General features: G+C 38.8%; 1 protein-coding gene across 1 annotated transcript in view; it reads left to right on the top strand.

Annotated features, from left to right (window-relative positions):
- The window catches only part of HAO1 (hydroxyacid oxidase 1), a 57,474-nt gene extending 44,105 nt beyond the window's left edge, over positions 1-13,369 (top strand). Inside the window, exons 5-8 of the mRNA NM_017545.3 lie at positions 1,130-1,221; positions 10,490-10,648; positions 10,764-10,833; positions 12,691-13,369. Of these exons, the coding sequence (NP_060015.1) occupies positions 1,130-1,221; positions 10,490-10,648; positions 10,764-10,833; positions 12,691-12,761 (392 nt within the window). The 3' untranslated portion in view covers positions 12,762-13,369. The remainder of the gene's footprint in view (positions 1-1,129; positions 1,222-10,489; positions 10,649-10,763; positions 10,834-12,690) is intronic.

The raw sequence follows: 19,708 nt of genomic DNA, 5'->3' as shown, positions 1-19,708 counted from the left end.
CCAAGGCCTGATTTTTGCTACGCTCTTGAACCAGTTGGTTTTGCTTAGTATTGCATTTTGAATGTTAAACCTGAGAACCAGTGTTGTTTTCATGATTCTTTTAGCAAATGGTTTGTTATTAGGACATGCTAAAAATAATAGTTTAGAATATAAAATATGTTTTTAAATGTTGCAAGTAGATTTAAGAGAACAGTAATCTATTTTTAAACTGAACTTTCAGAAATTAATATATTTTAAAACATGATTAGAGATGTAGCATAGAATTTTAATTTTTTTTTTTTTGAGACGGAGTTTCACTCTGTCACCCAGGCTGGAGTGCAGTGGTGCAATCTTGGCTCACTGCAACTTCTGCCTCCCAGGTTCAAACGATTCTCCTGCCTCAGCCTCCTGAGTAGCTGGGACTACAGGCACCTGCCAATAGGCCTGAGGCCTGGTTAATTTTGTTTTTGTTTTTGTTTTTTTGTATTTTTAGTAGAGATGGGGTTTCACCATGTTGGTCAGGCTAGTCTTGAACTCCTGACCTCGTGATCTGCCCGCCTTGGCCTCCCAAAGTGCTGTGATTACAGGCATGAGCCACTGCACCTGGCCAATTTTTTATACATTTCAATGAGCAAACATATATTTAATTATAGAACAATATTACTTAAAATAGTTACTAAAGCTATTACAACTTGTTATTAAAGATTGTTTTTTGAAATAGGTTTGTCCACTGCCTGTTACATTTACAGTGCTTGACATTTTTATGTTTTTTTTTTTTTTGGCTATCCAAATTGTTGAGGAATAATTTTGCTAAATGATAAAATGGTATAATCTTATTAATTGAAAATATTTAGCAAGAGTATACCCTTATAAAGATAAACACGCTTTATGTCAATGTATTATCTATTGATACTTTTGTATATTTTACAATTAAATTGCCGTAAGTAGTAACATTTTTTTGTTGTTTTTGGCCAAGAAAACTACCACTAATATTCTAGCGCTAACCCTAGGGTATACTTTTATGCTAAGATTATTGACCCAGGTATGCAGATGGGAGTCAGCCTCCATTTGACTGGAATGTGGAGGCCTCTAAACCCAAGCTGCCTGTTAAGTTACAGTTTCCCTAAGGTGCTTGTTTTACTCTCTCCAGGTGATGATGCCAGGGAGGCTGTTAAACATGGCTTGAATGGGATCTTGGTGTCGAATCATGGGGCTCGACAACTCGATGGGGTGCCAGCCACTGTGAGTTTTGGCAGACGCTAAGATTTCCTTTTGGAGTTCCCATTTCCATCACTGTGTTACTATCTCTATGTCTTCCTCCTCTCTGTGTGTACTTTGTGTAATCACTCAAGGTGAAATACGTGCAAATATGTGAGATCTTGGATTTTAAGTTTAGTGGCACATAACTACCCAAGTTAAAAATTTATTTATGTTTAATTAGCCCAGTGCATTTATTTGTAACCTATGAAAGTCTCTGTTAAATAATAAGTCATTTGTGGGCAAGGATTATTCTGGCATTCATAGATACACCAATAGGTATGTAAACTGGAGTATGAAAGAAAGGATTATGCCATGAATGTCCAAGGACATGAGCTAACAGAGAATTGTGGGATTTCAAAGGCTGTGGTAGAATCTGAGATCATCAGTACAATTGAGACAAGAAATCAGGAGGAGGGACATAATCAGAATTTCCTGTGGGGTGGCGGTTGAAAAGCTGCAGAGAAATGGTGGAGAGTTGGGAAAAGGAGAAAAAAGGCTTAGGTCCGGGCAACGGGAAGTGAGCTGCAAATAGGCTACTCTGGCTGAGTTGTGAACCACCTTGGCTGCACATTGGAATCATCTGGGGAACTTTAAAGAATCCTGATCTGCTCCCCAGGTCTATTTATCAGAATCTCTGGTTGGGGCTTAGGGGTGTATAGGCACTAGTATTTTTTTAAAGCTATCAGGAGATTCCAATGTGCATCTTTGGTTTTTATGCACTGGAGTAGGCAAATCAGAGTCCAAAATCTAGATGTAAAAGTGAACTAAACTGTCCTGAAAGGTGTGGGACTGAATACAACTGTATCGAAGAGCAATTAGACCCTGAAGATCCTAAAGCCAAGAAAACCGACAGAGGCACTTAGGGCAGATTTTAAGATCAGAGACTGGGGGTCCAGAAATGGATCCGAAGCCATGGAGAGGGACACATTTCCTGGGGTGGATTTTATGGATCCATGATCCAGAATGGGGGCCGGGGGCCGTTGGTGGGGTGCTATCAAGTGGTTCCCTTATGTGCTGTCCACTTGTGGGGATTTGGCCAAGCCTCTTGTAGATGGAGCAATGATGTTGCAGATATTTTTTGCTTCTGCTCTGGCCCCATGTGGACCCTCTTTGCAGTGTGATAAGCCTAAGAGTAAAATGGGAAAGAGTGAGATGTGCTCAGGGAATACTAAATAATCCATCTTGTTTGCAGTGTCTGATGCTGTAACTGCCCAACCGTTTCTCCTTGTCCACTGTATAGACAGAGCCAATTTATCAAGACGGGGAATTGCAATAGAGGAAGAGTTTAATTCACGCAGAGCCAGCTGTACTGGGAGATTGGAGTTTTATTATTACTAAAATCAGTCTCTCTGAAAAACTGGGTTTTAGGGTTTTTAAGGATAATTTGGTGGGGAAGGGGTTGGAAAGTGGCGAGTGCTGATTGGTCAGGTGGGAGATAAAAATCATAGAGAGTCGAATTGTCCTCTTGCTCTGAGTCAGTTCCTGGTTGAAGGCCACAATACCAGATGAACCAGTTTATCAGACAGTGGTGCCAACTGATCCAGGTACAGGGTCTGCAAAACATCTCAAGCATTGCTTTTCGGTTTTACAATGGTGACGTTATCCCCAGGAGCAATTTGGGGAGGTTCAGAATCTTGTAGCCTACAGCTGCATGACTCCTAAACCATAATTTCTAATCTTGTGACTAATTTGTTAGTCCTGCAAAGGCAGCCTAGTCCCCAGGCAGGAATGGGGTTTTGCTTTGGTAAAGAGCTGTTATCATCTTTGTTTCAAAATTGAAGTATGAACTAAGTTTCTCCCAAAGTTAGTCTGGCCTACACTCAGCAATGAACAAGGAAAGCTTGGCCGTTAGAATCAAGATGGAGTCAGTTAGGCGAGATCTCTTTCACTGACATATTTTTCTCAGTTATAATTTTTGCAAAGGCGGTTTCAGTGGGAGTGGGAGAGTTTTGGGAAATGCATCTGCCTGGATAGATAAGGAAGGAGATCCTTGACTATTATGAGTCATTGGGTGTGCAATAGAAGAGCCTTGGCTTAGCAGCAATGAGTCTCATAAAGTGGATTTTGTCATGACAAGAGGCAGAAAGGCCAATGAGGTAGTCTTTAAAATTACCATAGCCAAGAAAAGAGAGAAGGAGGGCCTGAACTGCAGAAGGACAGAGGGAATTGCTTTCTGCTCCCTATCTTGGTTTCTTCATCTTTTAAAATTTAAACCTTTCAACTGTAATATTTCATAATGTGATTTACACAGGCAAAGTAACTAGCATCATATAACAAAACTTTATATATCTATGCATATTTACTAAGTAATATATATATTTGTCATATATATATATTTACTATCTATCTACCTATCTATCTATCTACTAAGTAATGTGGGTGAACTTTCCAGACCACCACCTCTCTCAGAACTGGATTCTTATATAAATATTTTCCCTTTTATCGGAACCCTTCAGTGGTAGTTATTATATAGATGGTTGGAATTGGGATGACCATTTGAATTTATCCACACAACTGGAAAAAGAGTAGAACAAATACTTTAGCCAACTAGTAGTGGTCTGTTGTTTCACTGAACTAGCAGGTTGATTTAGTGACATTCATAGACCAATTGTGTGGCTGTGATGGCGGAGTAAATGATGGCAGGGAATATTGGGTGTGCATATTGCGTTGAGTTTTTCCTAAAGCACTAATGGTAGGAACCAAGTAAGTCTTTGTATATTGTAGGATTATACAGTCAAGTGGTGGCTCACGCCTGTAATCCCAGCACTTTCAGAGGCCAAGGCAAGTGGATCACTTGAGGCCAGGATTTCGAGAGCAGCCTGGCCGATGTGTGAAACCCCGTCTCTACTAAAAATGCAAAAATTAGCTGGGCATGGTGGTGCACTCCTGTAATCCCAGCTACTTGGGAGGCTGAGGCAGGAGAATTGCTTGAACCAGGGGGTTGGAGGTTGCAGTGAGCCGAGATCCATGCCCCTGCACTCAAGTCTGGGCAACAGAGTGAGACTCTGTCTCAAAAAACAAAACAAACAAACAAAAGATGAAAAGTAATGAAAACTGGAAGTTGTCAGCTCTTTGCAACTCAGTTTTGCTCCCAGAGACACACTGTTCTAGGTGATATTAAATGTTGGTTGCAGGTAAACAGACGTGGAAAGTGAAGACCTCCTCTGAGTAGGGTGGAGAGGTTGGTCACAGCACAAAGCTTTTTCTCAGATTCATGACTCACTTGTGTATGGAGATGTAGACTTAGTGGGCGGGCCAAATTGTTTTCTAAAAATTAAATATAAATCTACTGAAATCAAATCTAACTAGATTTTAAGGGAAAAATAGCCAAATGGTGTTGCTTATTTCCCTCTCGCTGAGAGAATATGGACACGTCTAGAAGGGCTTTTGAGTTTGTTCCCTGAGACCGTTTTTTAAAAAACAATAACCGAACCTAAGACTTGAAGCTATAAAAATTCTGTAAGATAACATTGAAAAAACCCTTTTAGACATTGGTTTAGGGAATGATTTCATGACCAAGAATCCAAAAGCAAATGCAATAGAAACAAAGAGAAATAGCTGGGAGTTAATTAAACTAAAGAGCTTTTTGCACAGCAAAATGAAGTCAGCAGAGTAAATAGACAATCCATGGAATGGGAGAAAATCTTCACAATCTATACATCTGATGAAAAACAAATATCCAGAATCTACAACGAACTCATACAAATAAGAAAAAAAACAAACAATCTGATCAAAAAGTGTACTAAAGACATGAATAGACAATTCTCAAAAGAAGATATACAAATGGCCAACAAACATATGAAAAAATGCTCAACATCACTAATGATCAGGGAAATGCAAATCAAAACCACAATGTGATACCACCTTACTCCTGAAAGAATGGCCATAATCCAAGAATCAAAAAACAGTAGATGGTGTGGATGCAGTGATCAGGGAACATTTCTACACTGCAGGTAGGAATGTAAACTAGTACAGCCACTATGGAAAACAGTGTGGAGATTCCTTAAAGAACTGAAAGTAGAACTACCATTTGATCCAGCAGTCCCACTACTGGCTATCTACCCAGAGGAAAATAAGTCATTATTCGAAAAAGATACTTGCACACACATATTTATAGAAGCACAGTTCACGATTACAAAGTCGTGGAACCAACCCAAAAGCCCATCAATCAATGAGTGGACAAAGAAACCGTGGTACATATATATGATGGAATATTACTCAGCCATAAAAAGGAATGAATTAACAGCATTTGCAGTGACCTGGATGAGATTGAACACTATTATTCTAAGTGAAGTAACTCAGGAATGGAAAACCAAACATCGTATGTTCTCACTGATATGTGGGAGCTAAGCTATGAGGTTGCAAAGGCATAAGAATGATACAATGGACATTGGGGACTTGGGGGAAAGAATAGGGGGTGGCAAGGGATAAAAGACAACAAATATGGTGCAGTGTATACTGCTTAGGTGATGGGTGCACCAAAATCTCAAAAATTACTACTTAAGAACTTACTCATATAACCAAATACCACCTGTACCCCAATAACTTATGGAAAATAAAATAAAAATTTAAAATTAAAAAACAAACAAAAGACAATAACCAGCTGGGTACAGTGGCTCATGCCTATAATCCCAGCACTTTGGGAGGCCAAGACGGGCAGATCACCTGAGGTCAGGAGTTCGAGACCAGTCTGGTCAACATGGTGAAACACTGCTTCTACTAAATACACAAAAATTAGCCGGGCATGGTGGTTGGCATCTGTAATCCTAGGTACTTGGGAGGCCGAGGCAGGAGAATCACTTGAACCCGGGAGATGGAGGTTGCAGTGAGCCAAGATTGTGCCATTGTACTCCAGCCTGGGCAACAAGAGCAAGACTCTGTCTCAAAAACAAAACAAAACAAAAAAAAACAAACCATAACCCTCCTCTTTGCATGTCGTATACATGAGGGGAGATACTTGCTTGAGTTTTGCCTCACACTTTAGAGCAAATTTAAGGCTCATGATGATGAGAGAAATGTGAGAAAGCATTTGGTGTACCGCAAAGTACAAAGTTCCCTCAGTGTGTGGGTTTTTCTGTGAGCGGTAAAGGTCTTGGGGGAGGCTGTGGTGTCCAGGTCTCAGTACTTGCACAGAAGAACTTGCTATACTGCAGATTTTGTTATGTCATAAGTCAGAGCCATGGAGGCAGCATGATGTCATGGGAAGAGCACCGAAATGGGAGTCTTGTCTCACCTTTCTCAGGGGATAAGGGCTAGGTGAGTAAGCCAATGAGACTTTTAAGCCCAAACATCTTCACAGTATTGTGTTGCTTACAAAAAGAAAGTGGACAACAATATGAATTATACACTTCTATTAGGTTGGTGCACAAGTAATTTCACCATTACTTTTAATGGCAAAGACTGCAATTACTTTTGCACCAGGCTAATATAAATCACAGAGTTTGCTTATGTGGAGAAATACTTACTGTCACTAGGAGTCCTAGAACAATAATTTAACTTCAGTTCATCTTAATATGTTGCTTCTGAGAAGAGTTGCCAGCCTCTGCTACACCCCAGAAAAACTAAAAAATAAGATTGTGTTAAAAATACGCTTATCACCTCATGGTTATAATGTGATCCAGATTGGATTTGAAGTAATTAGAGAATAATAGGATGGAATCAAATTGGTTTCTAAAATACATAGCACTAGATCTTCTCAAATTAAGATTCTCTGGAGTATTTGAATCCTATGAGCATTTTTTTTCAATTTTTCATTTTCATTTTGATGCTATCTGGACACAAACTACCTCAAGCTTAGAAATAATGACTTTCTTTCACAGTGAAAATTATCAATGGCAAAACATTTTTATAGAATAAGCATTTGGGTTGTTAAGTTCTTGGGGATGTTCTGTGAAGTGCTAAAGGGATTTAAATTTTCTTCTATAAAAAGAGTCCATGCAATTCCATCTTTGAGAAACATTTAATGTATCAGATGGCTTTTGCTGTGTAACAAACCACTCTGAAACTTACTGGCTAAACCACAATCGTCATTATTACATTTTACAATTTTGTGGGTTGGCAATTTGGGCTGAGATCTGCTCAGTGTTTTTCTGGTCTTGGCTGGACTCATTCACATGTGTCTGTGGCCAGCTACTAGGCCTACTAGGAGGCTGTCATAGGATGAGCTCAGCAGGGATGGCTCTGCATTGTCTCACATCTTCCAGCATTCTCATGAAGTGGCAGGTCTCCTAGAGAGTGAGTGGAAGCATGCAAGGCCTCCTGAGATCTAGGCTTAGAATGGGCATCCTGTCACTTCTCTCAATTCCACTGATGAAAGCAAATCATAAGTTCAATTCATATCTAAGGTGGCAGAACAGAACCCTCCTTCCTTTCCCTTTCTCCCATAATGTTGCAAGGAAATGAAGATAAAGAGGAGATCATTGCAGCCATTTTTGCAGTTGCAAACAATCAGCAAAATGTATATGAACCAGTGATTTTCTAAGTGTGCTTAGGAAAAGCCCCTTAGGGCTGCGTGGTGAAGTGTGATGGGTAGGGTGGGTAGACAGTCAAGGGAGGATTTATGGGCAGTGACTTGGACTCTGTCTCTTTTGCGTTTAACTAAGCACCTCTGGTTCCATCTACTTTTGTTTATTTTAAACTATTTTGATTTGAACAAAGGTTTCCATACCTAAAATGTCAAAAATCAAGAGTATAACAACCGATGCAATAGGAAGATGGAAAGGTGAGAGCTCCTTGCTAGCAGAAGTTGTGTTTGGGGGAGGGGTTGGGGGAGCAAGTTGTGCAGGGAGCATTCTGGAAGAGTGTGACTTGAACACAAATGAGAAAGAGGATTCTCTTTGCGAGTCAGATCCCTGTGGGTTTCTTTCTACATCCCTTACTCTGCCTGACATTAGTGCCTTAAATATACCAGGTCCTTTATAAAGTGTTTGATAAAACAGTGAATAGAGGGATGAATGAGCAACAGTATACAGGGATCTTACCATATTTTCCTGGAGATTAACTCCAGTGGAGTTAAACCCACAATTACTTGCCCGAAGAAGCACTAAGGAAATAGCTAAAATGAATGGTCTCACAGATGTATAGAAAGCTGAAAAGAGGGAAACATAAACAGGGACATAACATAGTGAGTCTGTCTACTGTATTTATTTATCTAATCTGTTTGATCAGAATTATTTTGTGTAATATACACCTAGTAAAACTGCAGCTATTGAAAGAAAAAAGGGAGGATTGAAACACCTAGCAATAGATGGAACATTGTTGTTCACAGACACACGAAACACAAATCTGGGCTCTGTTTTTTAACTCAGGATTCACATTTTTAAGTACCTTTATTAGTTTACTTTTAGGCCAGGGTTGGCATTGGAAATTACCTAAACACACTTGATTTGACTGACTTTGAAAATGTGTATTGAACCCAAGCTAGATAGTATTTTTTTTTGGTTCTGGTTTCAAATGGGGAAATATGCTTAATTATAGCTTGCATCATGGCTTGGAAATTATAGCATTTATATGTTGATGTAACTTGCCTGAATGCAAAAAGAGGGCTATGTATAGGAAAAGGGACATATGTAAATAGATCCAAAGCATGTTTGGCAAGGCAGAAAAGCTAAAAGGGAAAGAGGAAAATCGCCTTACCTGCCAAACATTTAGGGACCACATGCCAAGTGTTACCTTCACTTCCTTCCAATCTGTAGCCCTGTTTAGTCTTCAGCCTCATACATAAAACCCTCTAAAATTTTAGGGTAGAAGTGGGATAACCTCTGAGTGATTTCAGCACAATTATTTCTGGAAAAGGTGGACTTGAGTGTATGGCAGCTTCCTCAGCATACATTTTAAATAGGAATTGTACTTAATTTAGATTTTTACATTTTGGGATGAATGTGGGTGATTTCTACAGATTTTGACCTCTAGCTCACCTTGTAAATTGTTTTAATTCTCAAATGCAGATTCACATCAAAGTAGCCAATTGTATTAGTTAGCTACTGCCATATGACATTATAAAATGAACAATCCCAAACTCAGTGATTTAAATCATTGAAATAAATGATTTCCATGAAAGTTTGTATTGACCAGTGTCTACTGATCTAGGCTTGGTACTAGCTAGGTGGCTGGTATCCAATTGTCAGCTCCAGCTGGGCTTGGCTGTGCTAGCTCTGCTTCCTGAATATTTATCCTGGGGCCAAAGATGAGGGGGAAACAATACCTGGTGGATGGTCTTCTCATGGCAAATGACAAGGTGCAAAAAAGTAAGTGGGAATACATGAGGTTGCTTAAGGCCTATGCTCAGAAATGGCATTCTACCAGCTCTGCTCACATGTTATCAGCCAAAGTTTCCAAGGCTAAGGTGCAGGCAAGTGCACTTTGATGCCAACCTATGTCCATCATCACCAACTGCCAATCAAGACCAAGATCTTTATGTTGCAAGTGGTCATATTCCTTAAAAACAAGAAAAATGTTTTCACAGAGTGTTCTTTAATATATGGTTGGATGCAAAATATTTTGGATGAGAAAATAAGAGACTAAGTTGTTTTATTATTAGTTGTGTTTGCATTTTACACACTGCTTGCACTATTATCTGAGTATGAATTTTAACAATTGACTTGCAATGAGTAATGTTCAGAATAATTTATGTCAATAAAATACTTAATTTACTTTTATACATTTTATAATCTCAGCACTTTGGGAGGCTGAGGCAGGCAGATCACTTGAGGTCAGGAGTTCGAGACCAGTCTGGCCAACATGATGAAACCCCGTCTCTACTAAAAATACAAAAATTAGCTAGGCATGGTGGTGGGCACCTGTAATCCTAGCTACTTGGGAGACTGAGGCAGGAGAATCACTTGAACTCTGGAGATGGAGGTTGCAGTGAGCCGAGATCACAAAACTGCACTCCAGCCTGGGGGACAGAGCAAGACCCTCTCTCAAAAAAAAACAAAAAAGTTATGAAAGATCAAGTGTTTTATGTTTATAATTTTTTGATGACAATCTTTGAATATAAGAAACAGAAAAAAAGACAACCTTGCACTTTAAAAGAAAAATAAGCTGCTCATTTCCAAATTTAGTTGGTGTTTTAGTTACTAGCATTTGTACCTCTCTTCTTTGAGAAGGAAATAATTTTACCATTTACCCCAAACCTACTTGGCTTCTTTCACTCTAAGCCCTAGCTGGATGTGTCAGTGGTTTTTGGAGGTGGAGTTGAATAACAATTCAGTGTTAATAGAGTCACATTATTGAACTTTTCTTTCCCCAGATTGATGTTCTGCCAGAAATTGTGGAGGCTGTGGAAGGGAAGGTGGAAGTCTTCCTGGACGGGGGTGTGCGGAAAGGCACTGATGTTCTGAAAGCTCTGGCTCTTGGCGCCAAGGCTGTGTTTGTGGGGAGACCAATCGTTTGGGGCTTAGCTTTCCAGGTAACTGGACAAAGAAATGAATATATAAAATAGACAACTTGACAGTAAAACAAATGAATAAAACAAGTCAGACTGATTTAGTTCTGAATCACTCTGTATCTTTTCACTTGGTTAGGGGGAGAAAGGTGTTCAAGATGTCCTCGAGATACTAAAGGAAGAATTCCGGTTGGCCATGGCTCTGAGTGGTAAGACTCATTCTTGTTTACAACTTTCTTTTCTTTTATGATCTTTAAGTCAAGGTCCTTGGTGGAGAGAAGTGAATTTGAAAGGGAAGAGTGTGGGATCATTTGAGTACATTAAATTTGACGTTGACTCCATATTTACAGCTTTGAGGAACTCTGCATGTGCAGTCTCTAGTAATTACTTAACCTCTGTTTTTCACAGCTTTATTAGGAATATTTTGGTGAGTACGAGTACTTGGAGGTGGTTGTAACATCATATTCTTCCTCATCTCATAACACATGAACACATACATCTACCTGGATAGTCAACAGCTCCCTTTGGACATCTAAGTGGCATCCCAAACTCTTACCTGTCCAAAACTAAGCTGCTAACTTTCCACGTTAAACCTGCTCCACCTGCAGTTTCTCCATCAGTTCATGTTAATCCCATAGTTTCAGTTGCTCAGTACAAAAATCTTCAGTCATTCTTGACTCTTCTTTTCTCTCACACCTTCTTACTCATAGGGGCTCGATCTTCAAAATATAATCAGAATCTGACCTCCCTGTCATCTCCACTGCCACCGCCCTGGCTGGAGCCATCATTGTCTCTCATCCCATGGACATTGTGGGTGGGCACGTCTATTCTCACCTATCTCCCCTCTCCCAGTCTGTTCTGATCATGGCGGCCAGAACGGTTCTTTTAAACATTCATTGAGATCATGTTACTTTTCTGATCAGAAAACCCCCAGTGGCTTTTGGTTTACTCAGAGTAAATGCCAGAGTCTTTATAGTGGTTTACAAGGCCTCATATGGTTTGACTCCCGTCATCTTTCTGATCCCAACTTCTACCAATGTCACCCTTACTTATTCTGCCCATGTGACATTTTGCCTCCATGATGTCCCTTGACTATGTGAGATATGTTTCAGCCTTGGGGTATTTGCAATGGTTGTTCGCTCTGCCTGGATGCTCTTCCTCCAGACAGCTACATGAAAAACTTCTCATCTTTCATGTGTTCACATAAATTGTACTTTCTTAAAGGTGCCTATCCTGATTACTGTGTTTAAAATAGCAGTTTATCCTCCACCCATCTATTCGACTCCAGTTTTCTTTTCCAGTTTTCTTTCATCCTTTTTCCATAGTACCTATTGTCTCCTATATATCAGCTATCATAGAATTTCCTTTTAAAATTATATGCATTATATATTGTCTGTTTCCCCTTTAGAACATAAGATACATGAGGCAGGGGGCTTTGTTGTCTTGATTGCAGTATTTTCAGTGTCTACAGCAGTGCCTGGCACACAAACAATACATATTTGCTGAAAGAATAAATAAATAAATACACATTAAAATACTACTAGTGACTATTTCTAATTTGACTCAGAAAGAACCTGTAGCTAGAAAGAATGGCTGTGAGTTGATTATCAGCTACCGCATTTTTGAAGGTAAAGAGGGCTTCCTTTTCTGTAATCCATATCATCTGGATTGTTCCCATAGATAAAACTCCCCAGATAAATGGTCTACTCACTACTGTACTCAGTCTGCAGACAGAGCCTCAACAAGAAGAATGCCATTCTGTGAATCCTCACTATGCATTTTAATTTGCTACAGACATATCCTAAAAGAGAGCTTTCAGTCACTGACTCTCTATTAAATGTGGCAGAAAGAATATACTCTTTGTGTTAATAAAAATATGTGCCAGTCATTTTGTGTTAAGGACTGTTTAGGTAATAAAAAATGGTCTCATGCCACATAAGATTTGGCAAGCCTACCTTGAATCATAAACCTTACATTTGTCAAATTTTACATTCCTTGGGAAAACGATTACCTGCCTGATTATTATTGCATTCAGTTCATATTAAATGTATGCATTATTTTTTCAGGGTGCCAGAATGTGAAAGTCATCGACAAGACATTGGTGAGGAAAAATCCTTTGGCCGTTTCCAAGATCTGACAGTGCACAATATTTTCCCATCTGTATTATTTTTTTTCAGCATGTATTACTTGACAAAGAGACACTGTGCAGAGGGTGACCACAGTCTGTAATTCCCCACTTCAATACAAAGGGTGTCGTTCTTTTCCAACAAAATAGCAATCCCTTTTATTTCATTGCTTTTGACTTTTCAATGGGTGTCCTAGGAACCTTTTAGAAAGAAATGGACTTTCATCCTGGAAATATATTAACTGTTAAAAAGAAAACATTGAAAATGTGTTTAGACAACGTCATCCCCTGGCAGGCTAAAGTGCTGTATCCTTTAGTAAAATTGGAGGTAGCAAACACTAAGGTGAAAAGATAATGATCTCATTGTTTATTAACCTGTATTCTGTTTACATGTCTTTAAAACAGTGGTTCTTAAATTGTAAGCTCAGGTTCAAAGTGTTGGTAATGCCTGATTCACAACTTTGAGAAGGTAGCACTGGAGAGAATTGGAATGGGTGGCGGTAATTGGTGATACTTCTTTGAATGTAGATTTCCAATCACATCTTTAGTGTCTGAATATATCCAAATGTTTTAGGATGTATGTTACTTCTTAGAGAGAAATAAAGCATTTTTGGGAAGAATATATCTAGTCCTTTTGTAACAATATGAAATTTTAATTTTATTTTCTGAACCTTAATTACCTCCTCGTTTCCTTTCTGCATACCTTATTGGTTATCCTATACCTCCTACTTCTCTTTCTTTACTCTTTTGATTCTTTACCATTGATAACCATGTGCAAGGGTAGCTACATAATGTGTGAGGACTATGCCAAATTAAAATATGGGCCCCTTGTTCAAAAAGCAAGACAAAACCCTTTTCCTTCCTTCCACAGTTTTTCTCTTAAGCTGTCATGGAGACTTGCTGTTTCATGTCATGCTTCCTTGGGCATGGGGATACCCACATGGCAAGCGTAGAGCCTTCCAGGTGCCTGGGGTATTGCCTTACAACTTGCCTTGATCTTACCTGTGCCCATGCCCAGAACCCTGCTGGGGGTGCAGGGCAAAAATACTAAGCAGAATGCCTGAGCCAGCAACCAAGAACTCACTTAGCAGACATGGGGAGGTGGCAGGAGATGGAACAATGTATGATGCTAGGCTCTCAGTGTCCCCGGCACAAGTTCCATTGTTGCATCGTGCATCACTTATAAAACAAATTCAATGATAACATTATTAAGTATTTCAAGCCAATAACCACAGAGCATCAAACCCTAAGCCCAAGTCCCCTTTCTGAGCATGGAGCCCTGTCCACTGCATGAGGAGCATGCCCATGAAGCCCTGATCACGTGACTTTTATATTCATTCCCAAACCAAGCATTTTACAAATTGGAGGTGAACTAGGTAGCCAAAGTAATTTTGAAGTTGATTTTTCGTCATCTCTCTGGTTGTTCAACCACTGTGAGGTACTTAATGAAACAATTCAGAGAATCACTACCTGAAAATATGATTATTATATTATGTTTTATTATTATTATGCTTTATTATTCCCAGAACTCTTTCTCTCTCCCTTTCTCCTTCTAAATGCTAGGAGATTCCTAAATATTAGCATGAACACACAAAAAACTTTTTTCTGAAATTATATACCAGTCTGGTAAAAAATAATCACTTAACTTTATGAAAAAGAAAAGTTATCCCTTAACTTTTTCTCAAAATACGCAGAGTAAATATTTCTATCATATCATATAATTGTTTTATGCTTTTCCAATTAATATTGATCAATGAATAAGTATATAGTAAGCACCTCTAATTCCCTCAACAGATTCAAAATGCCTTCTCTGTTGGCACAGAATTTCCATTTTGACTACATCACAGTGTGTGGTTGTGTGGGCGCTTGCTTAAAAGTTGATAACTTCCCAGAAAATAGAGATCTCCAAGTGGTGTTTTATGTAAGGTTTATGCAAGTAACAGTGAGAATGGGGATTACTGGTCTTAATTCGTGAGTTTCTCATAATTTTTAAGATTCCCTGAGCCACAATAACTCCTTGAATGTAGATTTTCATTTATTTTTTCAGAGTTGGAATATATCTGAATGCTTTTTGTTTGATAATTTTTTCATAATCAAAGATATACAGCTGTTTGCTTTTACTTTTTTTTAATGAGTGATATGGACCCAATTGTAACAGTACTGAAATCAAAAGTGTGTAATGGTTAAAAGAGGAATGGTGTGTGTTAGTTGTACAATCCCTTCCAAGAGTTTTGAAACTTAGGCTTGATAGACAGATTTCTTTGAGGAAGCCAACAAACGCCTCTCTTCCTAAGTTTCTTGAAATATGTTGGCGGGAGGGGTAACAGGGCTTCATTACGGCCGCCTCTGCCTTTTGTGTATGTTATTTTGTGGATATAGTGCTCTAGAGCAGTTTCTCAAGCTTTGATAGTGCATCAGAATCAATGGCAGGGCTCGCTGAAACAGATTGCTGGGCCCCACACCATGGATTCTGTTGCAGCCATCTATGTGAGCCAGCTATTGGGTGTGGGCTCCAGGCAGAGAGGCCAAGCCTCACCTTAAAAGGCCAGCTGTTCCTTAGCCAATTGATACCTTTTCCATTGAATTGTATTTCTTATTGACATATGAAATTCATACAGCGAGGTGTGTAAGGTGCTGAAACCTGAGTGTATCGGTGGCTACACTTTACATTTACACCTATATGCCTACCTCCCAGATAAAAATACAGAACATTTTCATCATCTCCAAACATACTCCTTCTACCAGAGATAAACCTATGCCGATTTCCATTGCCATTGATTGGTTTTCACTGGCCTTACACTTCACATAAGTGGGACCATACAGTGTGCACTTTTGTGTTTAGTTTCTTTTGCTTAACATATGTGAAGTCCATTCATGTTTTTGAGTGTATCAGAAGTTAGTTCTGATTATTGCTCTGTAGTAATCCATTGTAGGAATGTACCACAATTTATCTATCTCTTATCCTATTGGGTTTTTTTCCAGTTTTCTGCTGGAAGTTGATTCTAAATGATTTTTGCAAAAATGCAAATTCAGTGTTATTTTATAATTTTTCAAGAAATGCAAGACATTCAGATTTTTATGTAAAAAATTTTAAATATTGGACGATATTTAACATTTTGAACACTGAGCAGGTCATGTTAAACATGGATGTGGCCCACAAGCCACAAGTCTGAACCCTAAAACATTTTATCCTCACAGATGTTTTCCTCATGGCTGAAATCACTCTTATGCCCTGATACAGAATAATGCCTGAGACCTGTAGCAGTGATGGGTGCCTGCCAACAGAAATTGCCAGAATCTCCTTTGTTTAAGCTTATTTATATTCAGCTACCTGGAAGAATGTGGGTGTGAAACAAACCTTCTTCTCTTTACGAGGCTTGGGGAGCCCAGGTTCCCAGGCCTGTAGGAATGAATTGAATAGTATTGATGCCTCTTAGCGTGATGTTTGCAGACTGCATTTGGGTCATTGCTGTGTTATTCATTTGCTTGTTTATCTTGCCAAAACATTGGCGTTTGTGAAACAGCTTTAGAGGGCTGTGGTGGATTAGGAAACCATGAAAGGAAGTTGTGGCTTGTTCTCAAACAGAGAGAAAAGACTTTTCTCTTCATTGTAAAATTCATAACTTATTTACTGTCTGATGGACTATGTTCCATGTCAGTTGCATAGCAACAAAATAAAGTTTGTCCGTTTAGGAAAGTCCGAAGATTTCTTTTAACATAAAGACAGGATGCTTTCCGAACTTATATTTGCCTCAGCGTGCATTCTGTCACATGCCAATTATAGAACAACATCAGGATGACAGTTTATTTTAGGTAATGTAAATGTTAGCTCAAATGATAGGAGGCTATTATTATATGTTTATGTGATGGGAAATCTCATCTATTCTAAAAGATGCAATTTCCTGTTCTTACCCAAATCAAACTTGAGCAATAGGTGTCTTCTTTCCTCCCTAATGTACTTGCCCATTGTTGGAGGAAAGAAAAAGATACTTTTTTATTTTTAAATCCAGTTATCTGTTTGCTTTTCCACTGACATTTTTCTGATCTTAGATAATGAGTATAAGTTCTATTGAAAGTTTTCCAGGACCTTCTAAAAATTAAGAATTGTGTTACCCTGAATGATGCCAAAAGAAGAGCTGGAATTCAAGTGAGTGATAGGCTTGATTTTGTTTGTTCCTTTGATTCAGCATCACAGGGGAAAAGAACCTTGCTTGGTTTCCTATGTATCTTTTCTGGTTAGATCATCTGTCTTTAACGCTGATTTATTTTCCATTACAGTCAACATCCTGAGTCTGTTTCTAACAGTGGAATCTTCATATTGATAGAGTCTTTCATGGTAAGATTCTTTACATGGTATGTTCGAGCTTTCTTACTAAACTTAATGAAGATCAAGACTAACCTGCTCAAAAGCACTGAGTTAGAATCCTGAAGATCTGAATGATTAGCTGGGTGAACTGTTATGTAATCTGAGGACCCTCAGATGCTCAGCTGAGAAATGAGGGCGGCAGCATCTGTCTACCTCTCTGGGTCATTATGAACACAGCATGGTGAAATAGGTGAGAATTTATCATGAACTGTAAATCAACAGTCAAAGGAAAATATTATTTTATATTAATAGTTTAATAATGATTATTATCAGGAAAGAGAATAAAAGACATTCTAATAAGTATTTTATTTTATAGTATTTATTTAGAGAAAAGTTGAATATTTTACAGAGTAAAATAAACATCACCACAGATTTTACCACAGAGAGATAAATGTTATTTATATTGGGTGAATATCATCTCAGACTTTGCTGTGTTTGAATAATCAGTAGCAACTGGATAGATAGAAGTGGTTTTGAAGCCACCTTTGCAAAAATTATAACAATGAGAAAATTATGACAGTGAAAAAGACCTGATCTAATCAACTTCCATCTTACCTTTGACCTCTGAACTCTCCATGGTCATTCCTGGGCTTGGGCCAAGCTAACATTGGGAGATATTTAGTTTATAGTTTAAATAATAACAGCCCTTCTTAAAAACTAAACAGCCCTTGTAAAGCTAAGGAGGATGAGAGGAGCCTAAATTCTGTTAAGATGTAGGCCTAAAGGATGATCAGCCTTTATTCCAGGGGTCACAAAATTTGGAACTTCCCCAATTACTCCTGCAGATAACATCACCATTGTGTACCCTAAGATTGGCCTTTTGAGATGTCTTTTCAGTCTTTGGCATTTCTGAGGACTGGGCGGCCCCACACTGATCCATGACTCTTGACGCAGCTGGTCCTGTGGCCCCCACCCAGAAGCAGACTCAGTGCGCAAGGACCATTTTCCAAACTCCTATGATTACATCCTTAGCCAGTCAGCATTACCCATTCCCTAGCCAGCCAAACTACCTTTGAAAAATCCTCACCTTTGGATTTTCAAGGAAGTTGATTTGAGTAATAATAAAGCTCTGGTCTCCTGTTTAGATGGCTCTACATGTATTAAACTCTTTCTGTATTGCCAATTTGTGGCTTGAAAATTTGGCTCTATCTGTGCAGTGGGCAAAATGAACCTGTTGGATGGTTACAGCTTTACTAAAATAGGACTATACAATACATGTTATATTTGAGTAAGAGATTCAATTTATTTTTACTTGAATTTGTAGAAGGAAAAGTAAAGTTGGAAACATTTAAAATTAAGGTAATTTTTTTTCAAAAAGATATATCGTAGATTAAAAGTGCCTACACAATGTATTTGGAAAATTATGAAAACTTAAAAGATTAAAGTAATTTTTGATTTATGGCATACACTTTCTTTAATTTTAGCACCAGTTAACTCATTGCTATAAAAAATGAAGTAGTCTCTTACATCTACTCTCCTTTTTTCCTCTTCTCTTCCCCTTTAGTGTGTGTACATATATATATATATGGATATAAAAGGATATATGTATATATCCTTTTTTTGAGATGAAGTCTCACTCTGTCATCCAGGCTGGAGTACAGTGGTGTGATCTTGGCTCACTGTAACTTCTGCCTCCTGAGTTCATGTGATTCTCCTGCCTCAGCCTCCTGAGTAGCTGGGATTGCACTCATGTGCCACCACATCTGGCTAATTTTTGTATTTTTAGTAGAGATGGGGTTTTACCATGTTGGCCAGGCTGGTCTTGAACTCCTAACTTCAGGTGATCCCCCCCCACCTCGGCCTCCTAAAGTGCTGAGATTACAGGCATAAGCCACTGCACCCGCTTTTTAGGGCCAGGCGCAGTGGCTCACGCCTGTAATCCTAGCACTTTGGGAGGCTGAGGCGGGTGGATCACGAGGTCAGAAGATCGAGATCATCCTGACTAACACAGTGAAACTCCGTCTCTACTAAAAATACAAAAAATTAACTGGGCGTTGTGGCAGGCGCCTGTAGTCCTAGCTACTGCGGAGGCTGAGGCAGGAGAATGGCATGAACCCGGGAGGCGGAGCTTGCAGTGAGCAGAGATCACACCACTGCACTCCAGCCTGGGTGACAGAGCCAGACTCCATCTCAAAAAAAAAAAAAAAAATATATATATATATATATATGTATGTATATATATAATTTTTAAATTATCAAAGTATAAATCATTGTCTTCTCTATCATTGATTTCCAAAATTGTTTAATACTGGTTTTCATTTAAATGGGCTCGGTACTTATAATTGTCATAGCTTCTCCATTCTCTGGTTCTTACCTTTGATTCACCTCCTGGTTCCCTAGATTTCACTGGCCAACTGTAATTTCAAAAATAGCTGGTATTCTTTAAGTTTGTGCATGTTTAAAAATCTACTTGATGTTCTTGTATTTGAATGACACCATGGATAGGTATACTACTTTGGGGTCACATTTTCTGTTTGTAGACATTTTGGATTGCTTTCTGGCATTGAATTTTATGTGAAGAAATAAAAACTGGCTTACTCTTTTGCTCGTGATGTTTTAACATAATCTCCCCACATCCACTTTCCAAACCCAA

The sequence above is a fragment of the Homo sapiens genome, chromosome 20, assembly GCF_000001405.40.
Source record: "Homo sapiens chromosome 20, GRCh38.p14 Primary Assembly".
Taxonomy (NCBI): Eukaryota; Metazoa; Chordata; class Mammalia; order Primates; family Hominidae; genus Homo; species Homo sapiens.
Note: the sequence above shows the minus strand (reverse complement) of the source record. Positions and strands in the feature narration are given on the sequence as shown.